General features: G+C 42.1%; 1 long non-coding RNA gene across 1 annotated transcript in view, besides 1 other annotated feature; it reads left to right on the top strand.

Annotated features, from left to right (window-relative positions):
• The first annotated feature begins 822 nt into the window (after window positions 1-822).
• Window positions 823-18773, top strand: part of LINC00423 (long intergenic non-protein coding RNA 423) — a 102463-nt gene continuing 84512 nt past the window's right edge. Inside the window, exons 1-3 of the long non-coding RNA NR_047020.1 lie at window positions 823-1452; window positions 1755-1838; window positions 5458-5581. This is a non-coding gene — a long non-coding RNA (long intergenic non-protein coding RNA 423). The remainder of the gene's footprint in view (window positions 1453-1754; window positions 1839-5457; window positions 5582-18773) is intronic.
• Window positions 7108-7187: an enhancer, noted in NCBI's record as "active region_7566". NCBI's record gives its function as "activates an Ori minimal core promoter by ATAC-STARR-seq in GM12878 lymphoblastoid cells {active_cell/tissue: GM12878}" and the evidence as "EXISTENCE:reporter gene assay evidence [ECO:0000049][PMID:35858748]".

Here is an 18773-nt window from a genome sequence, read left to right as displayed (position 1 = left end):
TTGGGACTTTTTTCTTTGTTATGGAAAAAAATTTATTTCAAATTTCTTCTGAATGAATAAGCATGCATAAATAGCCAGGCAAATTAATGAGAGAGCATTTGTCCTATTGGATATTATAAGCATACAAGTATAAACATTAAACCATTATATAATAACAGAAAGCCCAATAGCACAGAATCCATAATTCAGAAACAGACTCATGTGTGTGTGAGAACTTGATATATGATCAAGGTGGACTATCAACAAAATGGGTTGGATAAACTGACTAATCATTTGGAAAAAATAGAAATAACAAATCTCTATGCCCAAATTAAGCTTCAGAAGGAGCAAATACCTAGACATAAAAATATACATTTTTATTAAAGTACTGAAATAAAACTTAGGTAATTGATTTATAATCTTAGCACACAACTTTTTAGATGGTCACTTGACCCTATGTATTAGTATTTTAAAGTTTGAATCAACAATTCCATTCGTGGGATTTTTTTTCCCCCGAAGCCATAATGGGTCAAGGTGACAGAGAAAGATATACAAGTCTGGTCATTAAGCATTTTTGTAATGGTGAAAAATTGGAAACAACTTAAATGTTGATTAAATAAATTATAGCATACCCATACAATGAAACCCAAACAGCCAATTAGAATAATGATATATCACCACACTGATACTCCATTGCCTGAGCACTGTTGGTAGGAAAGCCTGCTCCTGTTACAGCCCTGACAGCAGTTTATGTCTATGCCTGCTGATCCATCCTCACCAACACCAGGGGGTGTTGTTCACATGCTTGTTATCTAGAGCTGTCCTTTCTGCCCATCAACAGACAGTTCTGCCCATGGGCACAGGCAATTGGTCTCAACTGCGCATGGTTTGCCCTGTAATGCCCTCCAAATGACCAGCTGAAAAGATTGATAGTCTAGAGCAGAGGACCTGCGGCACCTGATCCACAGACCAGACAGTTAGGAGGCTTCTTTGTCCTCCCAGAAGTGCAGGCAAAGTTTTGGTGTTCATCAAATGAGTGATCAATGACAGGTTATCACACCTACTGCAAAAATATATGGCACTTCCCTCTCCACCTCCACAGTGGGCTGTGAAAATTAATTGAGTTCAGGCTGTGAAAAACTTAAGCTGCTACATGAAATGCAAAATCATTAAGCTTCAGAGATTGTAACATTCTGCTTGTGGCCTTGGGACTGAAACACCAGATGTCATGCCCAATAATGACTTCACTTTTCATCCAACTTCAACAACTCAAGATTGAGCGCATTTTGGGTTTTGACCTTGCACTGCTATACTGAGATTCAGCAGAAGTTAACTACCCGCAAGACTCCCTCCAGAGAACTGAGGCCTCAGGATCATCTTCAACACCTTCACCCAGAGTACGGAGACAAAACCCTTGCCACATAGACCTGCCACACCACAATACCAGGTGGAGATGCACCGTTGCTTGAGTTGGTGAGTGAGAAGGGCCATTGCTTGTGTTATCTGAGGGCTGTGGAGGAAAGAGAATTAGGTAAGTTCATTTAGAACTAACTAGAACACTTTTCAAAAAGATGTCTCAGTGTGGGGCATAGTTAAGACATATATTTCAGAGTAATCATCTCCAAATGAGTGATTTTTGTTTTCTTGCCTATTTCCTGATTTACTTGAGTTGTCCTGGCTCAAGGAATAAAGAAGGCATTTATACAATAAAAGTGGTGTGAGTCACCCTTTCTAACCTTTAAGATTGGTTTTCAAACTGTTAAAAATTCTTGTAGGTCCACCAAGAAAGTTGCCATAGAAGCCTGAAGTTACGACAGCTTATAAGGAAGTGGTTATCGATTATGACGGATGGAGAAAATGTAAGCTGCCTATGTTTCATTCAGACTCATACTAGCTCTGGTTAGAGAAATCAATTAAAAGGAGGAAAAGATGAGGAAGTTCTGCAAAAATAAATTCAAGGGTCAACTAGCAGTGGATAAAGACACAACTATGATCTCTGTGACTTCTTTCCTCTTTTATTTGACATTTTTTCACTTCCGCATGATAAAGAAAATAGAGACATGGCATGCTGGAAAGAAAACTAAAGCTATTTCTTTAATGAAGTCCACTAACCTCGGAAGGAAGACTGAAGTATTCTTGTGGCTTCAACAGACAAATGATAGTAGCTGCTAAGACAGAAACTGCTTGGAAAGACTATTGATTTTAGATTCAGAGAAAATGAATAAGGAAAAGTTTAAGATTGATGAGAAAGGTATACAATGTGCTACGAGAATTTTTTCTAAAAGTCACGTTTAAAAAAACGAGTTTATAGTGGATTTTAGGTTAAATTCCTTTAATAAAGGGTTACATGTTTCCTGACTATGTATAAGAAATTCATGAATGTGACTCTAAGAGACTTGAATAAAAGGACCCACATGTCTTTTGCCCTGTGATGGCCTGCCTAAATTGCAGGGCTATAAAAAGGAAAACCACCTTTAAAAGCTTCAACCCTAAGTTGACTTTATCTTATAGAAGAAAGAATTTCATGTGTATGCTAAATATATACATATAGCATATAATGTATATATAATTTCCTGATAAAATCTTCTGTTTTAGTGTACTTGCATCTGGGTACATAACCTCCCCACATCTCTTTGGTATTCTTATTTGTTCTGCTTTTCCATTTTACATATTTTCCCCAAGTGCCAAACATTAATAAAATTGCTAGCATTGATTATTTTTCCTTCACTAATACATCCCTTTGAGCCTATTTCCCCAGAAACAAATAACTAGAGACAACCTATCCTTTGCTGACACATGAAAATCCTATAATTGCAGACAGGAACAAAGATTCTAAAGGAAGTCTCTGTCTTCAGTTCTTAGATTATTGTCCCCCCATCTTCTAGCCCTCCCCTCATCCCCATTCATCTGACCCCTGTTCTGTTGTGACAGATTGTTATAATAATGACAGTGAATCATGGCTTTCTGGGTCTATGTCCCTTTGATCCTTCCATTAAAAGATGGAGTCTATTTCTCCACCTCTTGAATCTGGAAGGTCCTTGAAACCCACTTGGACCAATAGAATGTAGCAGAAGTAGCACCATGCAAGTTCTAGAGGCTAGGTCTTAGGACCCTGAGACCACCATGCTGTGAAGAAGTCCATTCTGGTCTATTGGAAGATAAGAGACTGTGTGAAAAAGAACAGAGACACCCCATCTCACAGTCAGCACCATCTGCTGACAGTAAGTGATACCATCTTAGACCCTCAGCCCCAAACTCCCAGGTGACGACAGCCAGTAAGTGAGCCCAGGCAAGACAAGTAACAGAACCACCCAGATTTCCAGCCCAAGGATCCTTAGAGATAATAAATCACTGTGCTTTTTAAGCCACTCAGTTTTAGGGTGGCTTGTTATACAGCAATTGATAACTGGTACATCCTCCAAGAAACTATGTCTTGCAGAAAGAGTTCTACAAAAGGATGAGAAATAAACCATAATTTAACCTCCTTCCTTTGATCTACTCCCACCCCGGGTGCACATTCTCCTGCAGCCTACATTCTGGAAACATGCCATTAAACATTCATTCTTTGGAGGAGCCTTTGTTCTGGCCTGTCTCTTAAATTATTGAAGAATTCCTCTTATGTTCATTTTTCTGCCTGTTAAAAACGTTTGAGGGAGGGAAGAAGTAAGATGGCTTAAGTTGAACTCCTAGAAGGCAGAGGCAAGATACTCAAACATCGTTTTGTATATTCCCAGGATAAAGCCCTGAACAGTAGGCACTGAATAAACCTTACTTGAAGATAGCAATAAAAGGGAAGGCCACCATCAAAGACATTGGATCACAATCTTATTCAGTACATGCAAATCATCATGTACTTTGTATTAAAAACCAAAATCTTTTAAAGATCAGAACAGCCAGAGGCAGAAACAAGATTGGGTTGTAATACTTTAAGGCTACAGCAAGATGTACATCAAATAGATTCTGCTACATTTTCAGCAAACTCCCTTTTCAAATATGAAGTACATTAGTAATTTGCCGTGAGGGGGAAAGCAAATCATAACAGCATCTTGATGTAAGAGGAAAGTACACTTATGGGGAAAGTGCTGGACGTTTCTTTCAGTGAGGAACTACGTACAGGATTCAGAATTCCCAGGATTTGAAAGTTGTGCTGCAGAAGCACCAGTTAGAACTGAAAATCTCCTGGGTTCCTTTAATAATACCACAAACCAAAGTGAACTAAACTTCTGGGAGGATTCTTCTGAGCAAATCCATGTTTCATAGAACAAAATCAAACATGCACAGCTTCCACCTAAGTTCACCAGATTGTGCTGCACACATGATGAATAATTCAAAAGTAACAGACAAGTGATTTTTGTCAACTTTATGGCCTTGGTTCGTTGTTTTGTTTTGTTTTGTTTTGTTTTGTTTTGGGGTTTGCTTGTTTGTTTGTTTGTTTTTTGAAATGGAGTTTTGCTCTTGTCGCCCAGGCTGGAGTACAGTGGCGTGATCTCAGCTCATTGCAACCTCTGCCTCCCGGGTTCAAGTGGTTCTCTGCCTCAGCCTCCCAAGTAGCTGGGATTATAGACATCCGCCACCATGCCCTGCTAACTTTTTGTATTTTTAGTAGAGATAGGTTTCCACCATGTTGGGCAGGCTGGTCACGAACTCCTGACCTCAGGTGATCCACTTGCTTCGACCTCCCAAAGTGCTGGGATTACAGGCAGGAGCCACAGCACCCGGCCCTATGGCCTTGGTTCTTTATCAGTCTACTAGACTTTGAATGCTAAACCAAACAAGGAGGTCACACAAACATCTAGAAGCAGTATTCAAATCTAGACCACTATTGAAATTGGCTTAGTCCAGTTGAAATCAACTCCAAGTTTAAATGACCTGAGTCAGGAAATTATTTTGGGTAGCATTTCCCAGCAAGGTGGTCTGATGAGTGAGATTTGCTGTTATTATGTTGTTGGTGCTGCTGTTACTGGTTTATGTTTTTTGTTTTGTTTGCTTTGGTTGTGTTTGGTTTGGTTTGGTTTGGGGCTTTCTTTCAGTTGGTCTTAATGTTCAGAATTTTTTCTGTGCTGCTGCCAGATGTTAAGTGATAGTTGGCTCCCCGACAGCCTGCATTCTGAAAAATAATAAAACATAGGCCACCAGAGGTATAAAATAAATAAAAACCACAAAACCAAGTTTGTTAACTTTCCAGGCAAGGAAGCACACACTAGTAAAGAAATTCACTGAATAGTTAGCAGAGAGGGGGAAAGTTAGGGATTTTTCAATCTAGAAAATGAGGGCTCACAGATTAGGGTTTGAACACCAGCATTGCAGGTGGCCCCAGTGAACCCAAAGGCCTGAACCCAGTTGGCTCAAACAAATCCAGTCATTCATTGGTCAAGCAAGAGTCTTTGGTTGGGCCTGTAGGGGTTTTGTGTTTGGGTCCATTTCAGCTGCTTAGAATGGGTTAGGAGGAGACACAATGTTGATTTTGATATCTCCTAGGGCAAACGTGGCTGAAAGTGGACATTTTTGCCTTGACAACTCCATCTGCTCCTCCTCTATGAAAGCTCCATCCAGGGCCAGGCGCGGTGGCTCGTGCCTGTAATCAACACTTTGGGAGGCCAAGGTAGGTGTATCCCCTGAGGTCAGGAGTTCGAAACCAGCCTGGCCAACATGGTGAAACCCAGTCTCCGGTAAAAATACAAACATAGCCAGGCATGGTGGTGCATGCCTGTAATCCCAGCTACTTGGGAGGCTGAGGCACGAAGAATTGCTTGAACCCAGGAGGCGGAGGTTGCAGCGAGCCAAGATCGTGCCATTGCACTCCAGCCTGGGCAACAAGAGTGAAACTTTGTCTCAAAAAAAAAAAAAAAAAAGCTCCATCTATGACAAGGGTGTGCATTTGGTGGTTTGTCTCCCTTTATAGTCTTAAGCTCAGTGTCCTGGAATTTGGCAGTCATCTTTGGTAAATGTAAAACATGTCTACGAGTAAATGTAGTTCACATGTTCAAGGGGTCTCCAATGCCCTGCCCTGGTTCTGCTCTAGGATTAGCCCTTCTTCCAAATTCCACTTTTATCCAACATGCCAGGATCCTAGCTTTGAACTTCTCTTTGAACAGCAAATAGTAGCTGGTAAAAAATACTTTTGTATGATTACATCAGACAATTGTGACCCCCTCAGAGCAATCGTGTTCCCCAGAATTCTTGGTAGATTTTAGGAATATTGATGTGCAAATGTCAAAGAATGCTTTCACAATGTAGCAGATGATGGAGAAAGGGAGGTGGGATGATAAAGAAGAGAGAATAGAAGTTAGGAGGAAAGGGAAGAAAAAGAGCTTAATGAATATCATTGTGGTGAAGCACAAAGAGAGATGAAAGAAAAATGGTATGGGAGAAAAATGATAGCATTGAATAAACCTAACTGAGCCAGGGCCGTATGTGACCAGAAGGCCAGAGAGAAACAGCAGCAGCTGGAGAAGGCTGCAAAGCTAAGCAAGTTCATTTTGCACAGTCCGGGCAGGAAAATGCTGTTGGCTAGAACAGAAAATAACGTGATTTTTCCCCTGCTGATGCATCTCTGGGATCCTGCCAAGGCTCTATTCTGCAGAACCAAAAACTAAATAGACTAATTTATTCAGATGTGTTCCCTTCGTTCTCTCCCTAGAATGGTTTAAACCTGCCCAGGATACCAGAAATTTCTGTGAATTTGGATGACAAGGCATTAGCCAGCATGTTTCTCTCCCTCCCACAACACCTGCTGCTAAAGAGGAAGCATTTGCCCCTCGCATGCAAATCGTTTTTTGTAAATGAGGCATCTAATGAGCACTCTCATGGAAGTACCCTAGAGCAGGTAACACTTACATGAGGCACAAACTCAAAAATGAAAAAGAAACTCATTATCTGCAAGCCCAGACCTAAGCATTTGCTATAAAACCACCATTCTCAATCTTTTCCTTGAACGTAATTAATAGTTCCCCAAAATCCTCTGTGAATATTTGCCCAGCTATGGCACCCAGAGCCCTTGTTGTAAGTTCAGAATCAATGTTAGAACTGTAAAAACCTTAGAGATCATCCAGGTACGTGCCTTCTTCTCTCAGAAGAAGACATTGCAGCCAAGAGAGTTGTGCGAATTACTCAGGGTTACACTACTAATTAGGAAAAGGTCTCCTAATTCTCAGTACAACATTCATTTCACTGCTCTATGACTCACATCCTGACTTATCACCCACATTCTCTCCTCCACCTTCATCATGTCCCTTGCCACTGAAGAATTCATTTTTCTGCCACAACAGAAAATCTAACAGACAGTGGTTAAAACCATAAAGATAATTCTTGTTTCCTAGTTGAGAGGCTGGATGTAGGTGGCCCCAGGATTTGTCTGCTGCTCAACGATGTGATCAAGAACTCAGGCTTTTCTCATCCTTCTGTCTGGGCACCTGCAGTGTGCAAATCCTTCATCTCTGAACCTGTGATTTCATGGTGACTGGATGGCTTCCACAGTTCCAGGCATTATGTAGTCATGCCAGTGCCCAGGCAGAAAAGAAAGGGATGGGCAGAAAAGGACTTTGCTTTTGGATCAGGGAGGAAAATCTTTTCCAGAAATAAGATTTCCTTTTATTTCTCCTTGGCCAAAACTAGATTCTGTGGTCATCCGAAGCTGAAAGAAAACCTAAGAGAGAAATTATCTGGCAAATGGTAACATTGCCATCATTAAAAAAAAAACAGGATTATGTCACAAGAAAGAAAGGTGTGTGGCTGTTAGGCAAGTATATCAGTTAACTACATAAAAAAGACACCAGAGAAAATTATCTCTAAATATGCTGGGTTAACTCAGGAATAGAGATAAGACTATAATCTGGAATGCAAGAAATGGCAAGCCACCAATGCATTCAGTGAGGGAAGGGTAAGGGGACTTTTATTAGCAAAAAAACAGATTTACACAAGATGCTTAGAAACAGAGTTCATTGGTTCCAGAGGTTTGAAGCCAGAGTTCTTGTCAATTCATTGGTGGAGATGTCATTACCGAGCAAATGTTCTTTCAAGAACATGTTATGTGAATTACCGCAGTTCTAAAGAATGTCTGGTGATGAACCTTATCAAAGCAGGAGATGCATGAAGGACTCCAAAGGTTTTTAGAAAGTCACTGGAAATAGTTCTTATCCCAGACACATAAGCATGAGCCTCCTCTCCATCTGGCCTTCCAGCTCTATTTTGCCTGGGTCTGACAAAAGTGATTTCATCCTAGTATCTGCAACTCTCACACTAACAACGTGCAACAAACCTCCTCCAAAACTCTGTGGTTTAAAACAGCACCCATTTCTCTGAGTGTTTCTCTGGGACATAGAGGTCAGCTGATACCACTGAGCTCAGTCGAATGGTTCTGCTGCTCTCAGCTGAATTTGTTCAGAGAACTATAGATCACCAGGACATCCACACAGAGCTAGGCTCTGCTCCATGTGTCCCTCCTACTTCTGGACCAGCAGGCTACTGAGGAATGCTCTTATCATGGTAACAGCCCAGACACAGGAGTGCAAGCAGGATCATAGAGGGCCGCCTACGGTCTAGACTCATGACCAGGACACTGTCATCCGCCGTCTCATTCTATCAGCCAAAGCTAGTTGTATGGCCAAACCCGAAATCAGGGCTGGAGAAACCTACTAGTGGGAGAAGCTGCAAAGTCACCTGGCACAGAGTGTGGATCCAAGGAAAAGTGAGGATGTGGCCATGCATAGTGACTCATGCCTGTAATTCCAGCACTTTGGGAGGCCAAGGTGGAAGGATTGCTTGAGCCCAAAAGTTTGAGACTAGCCTGAGCTACATGGTGAAACCCTGTCTCTACAAAAAATAGAAAAATTATCTGGATGTGGTGGTGTGCACTTCTAGTCCATGCTGCTCAGGAGGCTGAAGTGGGAGGATCACCTGAGCCCAGGAATTGAAGGCTGCAGTGAGCTATGATCATCACTACACTCCAGCCTGGGTGACACAGTGAGACCCTGTCTCTCAAACAAAAGAAAAAGAAAAGTGATGATGTGGGGCCAGTGATGTGATCTGGCTCACTAAGCAATCAACGCTGTGTGCTCCACCTTTTTTCATTCACTCCCAATCACCCTCCCCAACCGCACTCACTGTGCTTTCCTTTTGCTTCCTTCTCTACTCTCCTCCACCACCTCTATCACCAATTTTTTTCTTATATCTCTGTTCACAGTGGGGTGGCCTTGGAAGTTCTTGGTGGAGAGTGAGTGGATGTGGGATATAGGGTGCTGTCAGCACTAAGTGGGGTGCTCCATGGCCCCTGCAACCAGGAGCAGTGTTCTCACCCAGCAGTGGAGCTCTGCCTTCCCACATGTGTAGGGACAGTAGGAGGAGTGTGACCTCAACGCCTGGCTCCTCCCAGACTCGGGCCTGAGCCAATCCTGCTGGTGTTTCCACCATGGAGCCTGCCAGAGGCCTCAGGAATCTTACATGACTGTGCCTGAATGCAAATGGCCAAGGAGGCTTTTCAGACACAGCGTCTGTTTATCTGAAGGCACTTTGGCAGTGCTGCCGTCCCAAAGCCCCGACGCATGACCCAAACCTTGGATTAAATCTGCGCTTCATTCCTTCTCAGTGTGCATTTTAAATGAGCACTCATGAGGAAGTCGTCTTTTGCCTGCTTTATAGGCTTTACTCTCCGAAAAACAAATTGATACTGAATGCAGCCTGCTCGCCATTTGCTTACTTGCCAATTTTAAAGAGTGTATTCTCTAATGAATACATTAGTAGTGTGTCTGTGTTTTCAACAGAAATGGTGGAAATTGAGGAAGACCTTCAGAGTGAGGGTGGATTTCTGATGAGCCCTACAGACCAGCTGGATTGATGATCCTAGCTTTAGTCACTCCTCTCCTCCTTTCTTGGTTCAGTTTTTCTTGCCATAACCTCATGTTCACAACTAGTAAAGGGAACAAGGTCTTCTCAGCCCCAAACACAGGCTGCCTCTGCCAAGCCACACAGGCGATGAGCAGACACACCACACCAGGGAACACATTTGGAACTTTTTTCTGTTTCATTTCCCTTTGATGGCAAAGGATGGCCTTTGATGCCAAACTACTGGAGGCTCCATCTGAGCAGAGGCTGGCTTTAGATGGCTATTCAACTAAAATGAGAAGAGGCAGTGGGGCTGTCATGAGGATGTTCTTCAGTGGAAGCCAGGGGACCTGGATTCCAACCCCCATTCCTTCTGTCCCTAGAGGTGAGACCTCAAGCTTGTCATTCATCCTCTCTGAGCTTTTGTTTCATCATCAACATACAGGCTTGCAGCCAGAGAAAGATCCTCAACATTCATTTTTCACATGACTGGCCAGATGAGCAGTGCCTTGAGGCATAAGCCACGCAAATGTCTTCACTTTGTAAAGTTGAGCAACGTAGCTCTGAAGAGCACTGCTGGTGCTTGAATGTGTCCAGCATTGGGCACTCTCCACACCTAATCAATCCTGGTATAATTCCTTCTACTCTGTTGTGGAGAAAGCATGGCAAAGTCTATAAGTAGTCAAGACATTGTGAGATAGTCTTTTTAGCAAATAGGTCAGTAAAATCAATCACTAGTTTGTTTCAAGGGCTGGTGCCATTCTGGGACAGCTCATGGAGGCTCAAAGACCGGGGCTATTGAGAAAGACCGACAAGGTCTTCTCTGGTGGGGTTTATGTTCTAATAGTGGGATATGTGCCATTAACAAGCAATTAAATAGATGCTAATTTCAACTAGTAATAAGTTTATGAGAAGTGGAACAGTGCTATGGACTGAACTATGTCCCCCCAAGTTTCTATGTTGAAGCCCTAACCCCACTGTGATGATATTTGGAGATTGGGCCTTTGGGAGGTGATCAGAGTTAGATGAGGGCCCTTGTGATGGGATTAGTGCCCTTATAAGAAAAGATACAAAAGAGCTTGCTCTTTCTCTGGCATTTAAGGACACAGCAAGAAGGCAGTCATCTACAAGCAGGATGAGAACCTTCACCAGGGATCCAAATTAGCCAGCACCTTGATCTTGGACTTTGCAGCCTCCAGAACTGTAAGAAAAATAAGTTCCTGTTGGGTAAGCCACTCAGTCTGTGGTATTTTGTTATGGCAGCCTGAGCTGACTAATACAAACAGAATTATTTGATAGAGAGTATATGGGCGTAGGAAAAGTCTCACTGAAGAAGAGGTTTTGAGCTGATACCTGAAAGACAAGGAGGAGCTGAGCATGCAAAGATTTGGTGGTAAAATATTCCATCCAGGAAGAGAAACAGAAAGTGCAAAGGCCCTGGGGCTTCAGGAATGATGCAGAACAAAACCAGGCAGTGGGGCGGGAGCACAGAGACAGGAGAAGAGTGTTAAGAGAAATAAACAAAAGTCGGATTACTTAGGCTTATAAGGAGAGAATATTTCTGGAAGGACACATAAGAAACTGTTAACTGTGGTTACTTCTAGAGGATGGAATGGTGGATAGGATCAGGAGACAAATAGAAAATTTTATTTTTTGCTATCTACCCCCTGACCATTTGAATTTTTATTTAGATCTTATATTAATTTTATAATAAACAAATATTTATCATATGCTCAAATATAAGGTGACCCCAATACCACAGGATCCGGCTTTTAAATAAAAATACCTAAAAAATAAGTGTTTTGGCTAACTCAAATACATAACCCTTAGGGGTGTAGCAAAAATAGTCAAATATCTGCTTAACATATTTAATGAACTACTCATACTGTTTTTTAAATATTGCTTTTTCTCATCTCTCATTTATGCAACAACTTTATCCAAACTTTTATATTTCTTGATCATCAGGGTCAATTTCTAACAAATGACTTTTGAGTCATCTAAGAATTTTCTGAGTAGATTAACTTCCTGGTAATATGTGTTGCTTGACACATGGCACTGTCAGAGGGGATTTATCCCAGGCCTCAAGTAGCCATTCACATTATGTTAGGAGAGAGCCTTTCATTTTTGTTTTTTTAATCTTATAGGTGCACGCGGTAGGAAAAATAATGGCCCTCCAAAGATGTCTACGTGCTAATCCCCAGAACCTGTGAATATGTTAGGTTACACAGCATAGGGGAATTAAGGTAGCAGATGGAATAAGGTTGCTAATCAGCTGACCCTAAAATATGGAGATTATCCTGGATCATCCAGGTACATCTAATGTAATCACAGGGGTTCTTCAATGTGGAAGAGACTGCCGAAGGGTAGGTCACAGTAATGTGATACGAGAATGACCCAACCTACTCTGAAGATGGAAGAGACAGCCGTGAGCCAAGCGTACAGCCTCTAGGAGCTGGAAAAGGCAAGAAAAGGGATTCTTCCATAGAAACCCCAGAGGGAACTCAGCCCTCTGGACACCTTGATTTTAGTCCAGTGAGATGCTTTTTGGACTTCTAAGCTCCAGAACTGGGGGACTAATAAGTCGGAGTTGTTTAAACCATTGCGTTTGAAGTAATTTGTTACAGCAACCATGAAAATAGAGTAACGCAATGCATAATCTTGATAATAGAGTAACACAATGCATAATCTTAATGTTCTTGATTTTCACGGTGGAACCACATCCTATATCACTCTACTAAGTAATTTTTTTTTTTTTTTTGAGACAGAGTCCTGCTCTGTCACCCAGGCTGGAGGGCAGTGGTGTGATCTGGGCTCACTGCAGCCTCCACCTCCCAGGTTTAAGCAATTCTCCTGCCTCAGCCTCCCAAGTAGCTGGGACTACAAGTGTGCGCCACCAAGCCCAACTAATTTTTGTATTTTTGATAGAGATAGGGTTTTGCCATGCTCGCCAGGCTGGTCTCGAACTCCTGACCTCAAGTGATCTGCCTGCCTCGGCCTCCCAAAGTGCTGAAATTACAGGCGTAAGCCACTGTGCCAGGCCTCTAAGTGATCTTTAAAGGGCTTACTTGAAACAATATTGAAGCCATGCTATTATGAAGCCATTCCTCCTAGGATCAATTGGTAAAATTTATTTAATCTCTCTCCAGCTCTCATTCTATCAGATGACTCATATGTGCCTAAAACTAGAATTAAAGGAGGTTATTTCGGGCTAATGCTCTTTTCAACAAAGAGGAGAAAAGGTTGTTGTTCACAATTATATAATTGAGTATATGCCCTGAAATATAAGAAACTTTTCTTATAAGTGACTCTTTTCTGAGAATAATTGTGAGGGCAAATCTTACTTGTAGCAATTTTTGTTTATATAGTATTATAGCATAATTTAAATAGAAATGTTTTGGGCCCACCAGACTGCCATCCTGGTTCCTCTCTAGCCTGCTGACCCTGCCTTTCTTGATATATATGTCAATTGAATTGCAGTGCTACCCTCGGTTTACCAATGTCTCTTATTGGAGTATCACTGTTTTGCCTCCCAGGAAACCCTGGACTCCTTAGGCTACAGGTTATACCTAGAGCTGAGGTGGCTTTGCCTCAGCCACTCAGGAAACTAAGTCTTATTTTACACACTTCTTCTGGGATAAAGGGACCGCTCACCCTCCAGTAGCATCTCCATCATTTCTTCCCGGGAGGTCTGTTTCTGTGCATTTGTCCACTGATGCACACAACAGAAGAAGCTGGCAACTTCTCTCAAGTGAGAGAAGAACCCAAATTTAATTTCTGGTGGGCCATCTTCTGGTTGGCCAGCTGTTCATCGTGTAAGAATTATTTACAAATAACTTTGTTCCCTCCTCTTGACTGTAAGTTACTGGATGTTGGGTGCAGTGTGTCTCCCTTTCCTATCAATAATATTTATCGTGCTCTAGATACTTTTGAATACATTATTTCATTTTATCCTTACAGCCACCTTGGGATATAAGAACTAATATCCCACATTTTATAGATAAGGGAGAGGAAGTTCAACTGAAGTTCAAAGAAGAGAAATAGCTTGTACATAAAAGCACATGGTCAGTAAGTAACAGAGCCCAGATCTGAATCAAAGTTTGTCTTACTCCACAATCAATTCTCATTGTATGAGACCTAATGTTTGAAGGTGCTATGCTAAGAAAAAGAAGAAAATGAATTACATGATCCCAGGCATCTTGTGCTTGTTACGTACAGAATTTAGCTCAGGATGCTTGGTATGTGTTGGTTTGAACTATAAGAAATTGCCATTTTGTAGATTAAAAATAGTCATATCTTAGAAATGTTTATGGCCACAGTGGAAGGTCTGTTGAATTGGAATGAATAGTAGTCATTAGGTTACAGGGGCTTTGTAGTCTGACTAGCCAGGTTCAAATCCTTCCTCTGCCACTTGCTAGCTGATCTTGGGCAAGTTATGTGACCTCTCTGGGTCTTGGTTTCGTCATCTATAAAGTGCGGATAATAATATTACCTACCTCATAGGAGTGTTGTGAGGATAAAAGGGGTTACTATTTGTAAATCACTAAATAGGCTGCATGACACACAATAAGTACTTCATAATAAATATTAGCTATTGGCATTACTGCTGCTACTCATCCTCCTATGAGCTATTGGCATTAGTGTATAGGAGTGAACTAATTCTACATTTGGGGAGTTGTGGTAGCTGGGAGAGGGGTGGGGGTGGTAGAGAACAGGAAAGGATAGCTGAGCCATAAGAACAACAGAAGCTGTAGGACGAGGACATTTATTATGACTTCCTTGACCATTTCACTAACCACCTTCTTGGCCCCAGAGAGTAAGGCTGGAAGAGAGAATTCCCATTTGACCCTTCTTTCTTGGCCCCCACCTCTAGAGACCTAGGAAGATTTCTTTCTTGCCTCTCCTTTAGCTCTTATCTGATCTTACTTGAGCACAACAAAGACAACTTGGCCATCATGAGGAAGCAGAGCTCGCAGGGAATGGGCGTTTGGACTGAGGACCTTTGGGAAGACTACTGCAAAGCCGCTTGCCTCACCCTCTCAGTTTGCAAAAGCTTGGAGGCTGGGACACCTGCCCAGGTGCCAGGACTGGGAAGACAGGTGGGGAAAAGAAGCTGCTTCATCATTTACCAGTGCAAGACCAGACAAGAGCAACATGGATTCGCCTCCTGGGGCTGCTTTAACAAATCACCACAAACTGAGTGGCTTTAAACCACAGAAATGTACTTTCTCACATTAGAGAGGCCAGGCTCTCTCTAATGGCTCTAAGGACAGCTTCCATTCCCCTTCCTAGCTTCTGATGGTTGCTGGTGGTGGTGGAATGGTGTGTGTGTGTGTGTGTGTGTGTGCGTATGTGTGTGTGTGTCTGTGTCCCTGTTTTATCTTCCTATAAGGACACCAGTCGTTGAATTACAGTCTATCCTCCTATAGTATGACTTTGTCTTAATTTAACTAATTACATCTGATCTGCAAAGACCCCATTTCCAAATAAGATCACATTTCTTTTTTAGTCCTTGTAAATTGACAAATTATAATTTTATAATATACTAATGGAGTACAATATGATGTTATAATATATGATGTTATAATACTGGTATGCAATGTGGAATGATTAAGTCAAGCTAGTTAACATATTCATCACCTCAGATATTCATTTTTTGTGGTGAGAACATTTGAAATTTACTTTTAGCAAGTTTGAAATATACATTATTATTAACTATAGCCACAATGCTGTGCAATAGACCTATTAAACTTATTCCTCCTCTCTAGCCGAAACTTTGTAGCCTTTGACCAGCATATCCACATTCTCCTAAACCTGCAGCCTCTGGGAACCACCATTCTACCCTCTGCTTCTATAAGCTCAACCGTTTTAGATTCCATATATAAGTAAGAACATGCAGCATTTGTTCTCTACCTGGCTTATTTGTTGTTCTCTACCTGGCTTATTTCATTTAGCATAAGGTCCTCCAAGTCCATCTATGTTGTGACAAGTGATAGAATTTCCTTCTTCTTTAAGACTATCATTCTATTATGTCTATACACCATATTGTCTTTATCCATTCATCCATTGATGGACACTTAGATTGTTTTCACATCTTGGCTATTGTGAAAAGTGCTTCAAAAAACATGGGAGTGCAGATGTCTCTTTGACATTTTTATTTCAAATCGCCAAATCAGGTCACAGTCTGAGATCCTGGCTGGGCATGAATTTTGGGGGAATACTATTCAACTCAGTACACACAACAAACATAAAACACAGTGTTGATTTTCCAGCTGCTTCTTGCTCCTTAGAATGAACACTGCAGTGTGAATCAGGCCTCAATTCAGAGGGGGCAAGAGAGTGTGAGAGGTGGAGAAACCCTGGAAGACAAACAGAAGCTGCAATGACAAGGGCCACAGTGACACTATTTGTCAGGAGCCACATACTAAGAACAAAGGCAGGGGAAAAGTGGGAAAACAGGCAATGAAATCTATGTCCAAACTGAGAGGTGTGTACACAGGAGCTAGGTGAAGACTCCTGGAAGAACCAAAAATGAGAAGCTACAAGAATGGTGCTTAATATAAGGATGGCCATTCATTTATTCATGCATTCATCTGCTCATTCATTCATTATGTGTCAAGTACATCCTCATATTAAGTACCACCTTCCACCACCATTACTAGGCACTGAGGTGACAGAGACCAATTGCTACCTAATGGAATTGTGTCTGTTTGTCTTGGTGTCCTTGTTCTCTAGCTGGAGGGTGAGAGGAGACACTGAAACATAACAAATAGTCCCAGCAATGTTTGATAGTATAAGCATTGTACTATTTAGTACAAGTACAAAAATATATATTGGATATAGAGGTTCACAGGCCTCAAGCCTGTATGCTATCCATATGAGGGGCTGGTAAGCTGACATGAAATTGAACCCCTGTGGAGTTTATGGAAGAAACTCCCTCTTCGGCAGGGTGTGGCTGCTCACATCTGTAATACTAGCACTTGGGGAGGCTAAGGAGGGAAGATCACTCGAGCCCAGGAGTTCAAGGCCAGCCTGGGCAACAGAGCAAGATCCTGTCTCTAAATAATAAAATATTAAAAAACTAGCTAGGCATGGTGGCATGCGCCTGTGATCCTAGCTACTCAAGAGGCTGATGCGGGAAGATGGCTTGAGCCCAGGAGTTAGGCCAGAGGTTGCAATGAGCTCTGATTGCACCACTGCACTTCAGCCTCACTCAAAAAAGAAGAAGGGGGAGAAGGAGAAGGAGAAGAGGAGGAGGAGGAGGAAGGAGAAGGAAGAAGAAGAAGAAGAATAAAAAGAGGAAGAAGAAGGAGAAGGAGGAAGAAGAAGAAAGAAAGAAAGGAAAAGAGAAATCTTTTTTCAGTCCTTTAAAAGCTCATTCCCCCAGCAAGACCTATTACAGTACACCTGTTTACATACCCATCTTCCTCACTATAGTGTGATCCTCTCTCCAAAGAGCGGGGGCACTCCCTTATCCCTGTTTCCCTGACAGATCCTAGCAGAGCATGGGGCCCACAGCTAGCAATCATGTTGCACCTATGAAGACTGTCTTTCATAAAAGAAAATGTGGCATCAAATAAGACTTGCTTTGGTCAATGAAATGTAAGCAGATTGACATTTCATTTTCCAGCATATGCTTTTAGAGTTAGTGCACAATTTGTCACATTCTCTTTTTTCCCTCTGCAGTGTTGACCACCTGTTTCAGATAGTGGTTATTTTATCAGCCTGGGTCCCTGAGAGAGGAGATATGTAGCAGAGCCCCCAGATGTCTTGCGACAGACAAGTCATATGCGTGAGAAATAAGCCATTGTGTAATAAACCACTAAGATTTGGGGCTATTTGTAATCACAGCCAAACCTATTCTACATGACTCATTTGCCAATGTTCTCTTGTGAGTTGAGTTGCTTTTCTGAATAAAGGTGAATCTAAGCCATTAATTGCACTCTATTTAGTTCATAAAACATTTATCAGTCACTCACTATAAACAGAGTACTATACTAAGAGCTAGGGTCACAGAAATGATTAAGATGTAGTCTGTCCTCATGGAATTCCCAGTCCAAGGAGTAAGGCAGCAATGTTCCTGTATGGCTGTACAGGATGTTAAAATAAAGAAATATTTATATATAATTGGGAAATAGCACTGACCCAAGATGCTTAGATGTCTCCTCCATTCTGCCTCAGCTACCCCAAACCCTCCTCATGCACCCCATCCCCCGCCCAGAAATGCACACACACACACACACACACACGTGTGTGTTTATTCATTTTCTGTGTGCATTATTATGCATACCTTAGACCTGACAACCCTTCACTTCTAATTATTATGCAACATGGTAAGTCCTCCAATGGGGCATTGTTCTGACTGTTCTTCCTTTTCATGTAGAATGAATTTTTGCCCCCACCATATCATCCAAACTTGTACCATGGAACCACTAACATTTTATTACTTTTCCTTATTTCCTTGCCTGTCTTTCCCTCTAGATCTAGTGTGTGCCGTGAGGTCGGGAGTTATGTTTTATTCATCTCTGTACAGCACGTGGCACAAAGTATCACAAATAAGATGGCTCTGGGTTTGTGGGGGAAGAGTGCCCAGGACAGAGGCAGAGAGAGGAAGGGCTAAGGAATGAATCCTCCCAAACACCAACAATCACAGAGTGGAAAGACAAAGAGGAGGCAGCGAAGGGGACCAAGATGAAACAGGGAGAGAAATAGGAGGAGAAGTAGGAGTTGGAGTTGCAGAAAGACCAAGAGAGAGGAAGCAGGGGCAGGCCAGTGCCCCACAGCAGGTGCAGCAGAGATGCCCGTCAGGTAGAGGGTTGAAGGTAGGCAGGGAAGCCGGTGTTAGGGACATCAGATTGACGTTAGGAAGAGCAGTTTAGTCATTAGTTGGGAAGGAGAGTAGGGATCCAGATGACAACTGGTTGAAAAGTGAATGAGAGGTGAGACGGTGGAGACAGTGAAAGTTTGGTGCTAAAGTA

This window comes from Homo sapiens, chromosome 13, assembly GCF_000001405.40.
Source record: "Homo sapiens chromosome 13, GRCh38.p14 Primary Assembly".
Classification (NCBI taxonomy): domain Eukaryota; kingdom Metazoa; phylum Chordata; class Mammalia; order Primates; family Hominidae; genus Homo; species Homo sapiens.
The sequence above is the reverse complement of the archived record's forward strand: the minus strand, read 5'-3'. Positions and strand labels throughout refer to the sequence as shown.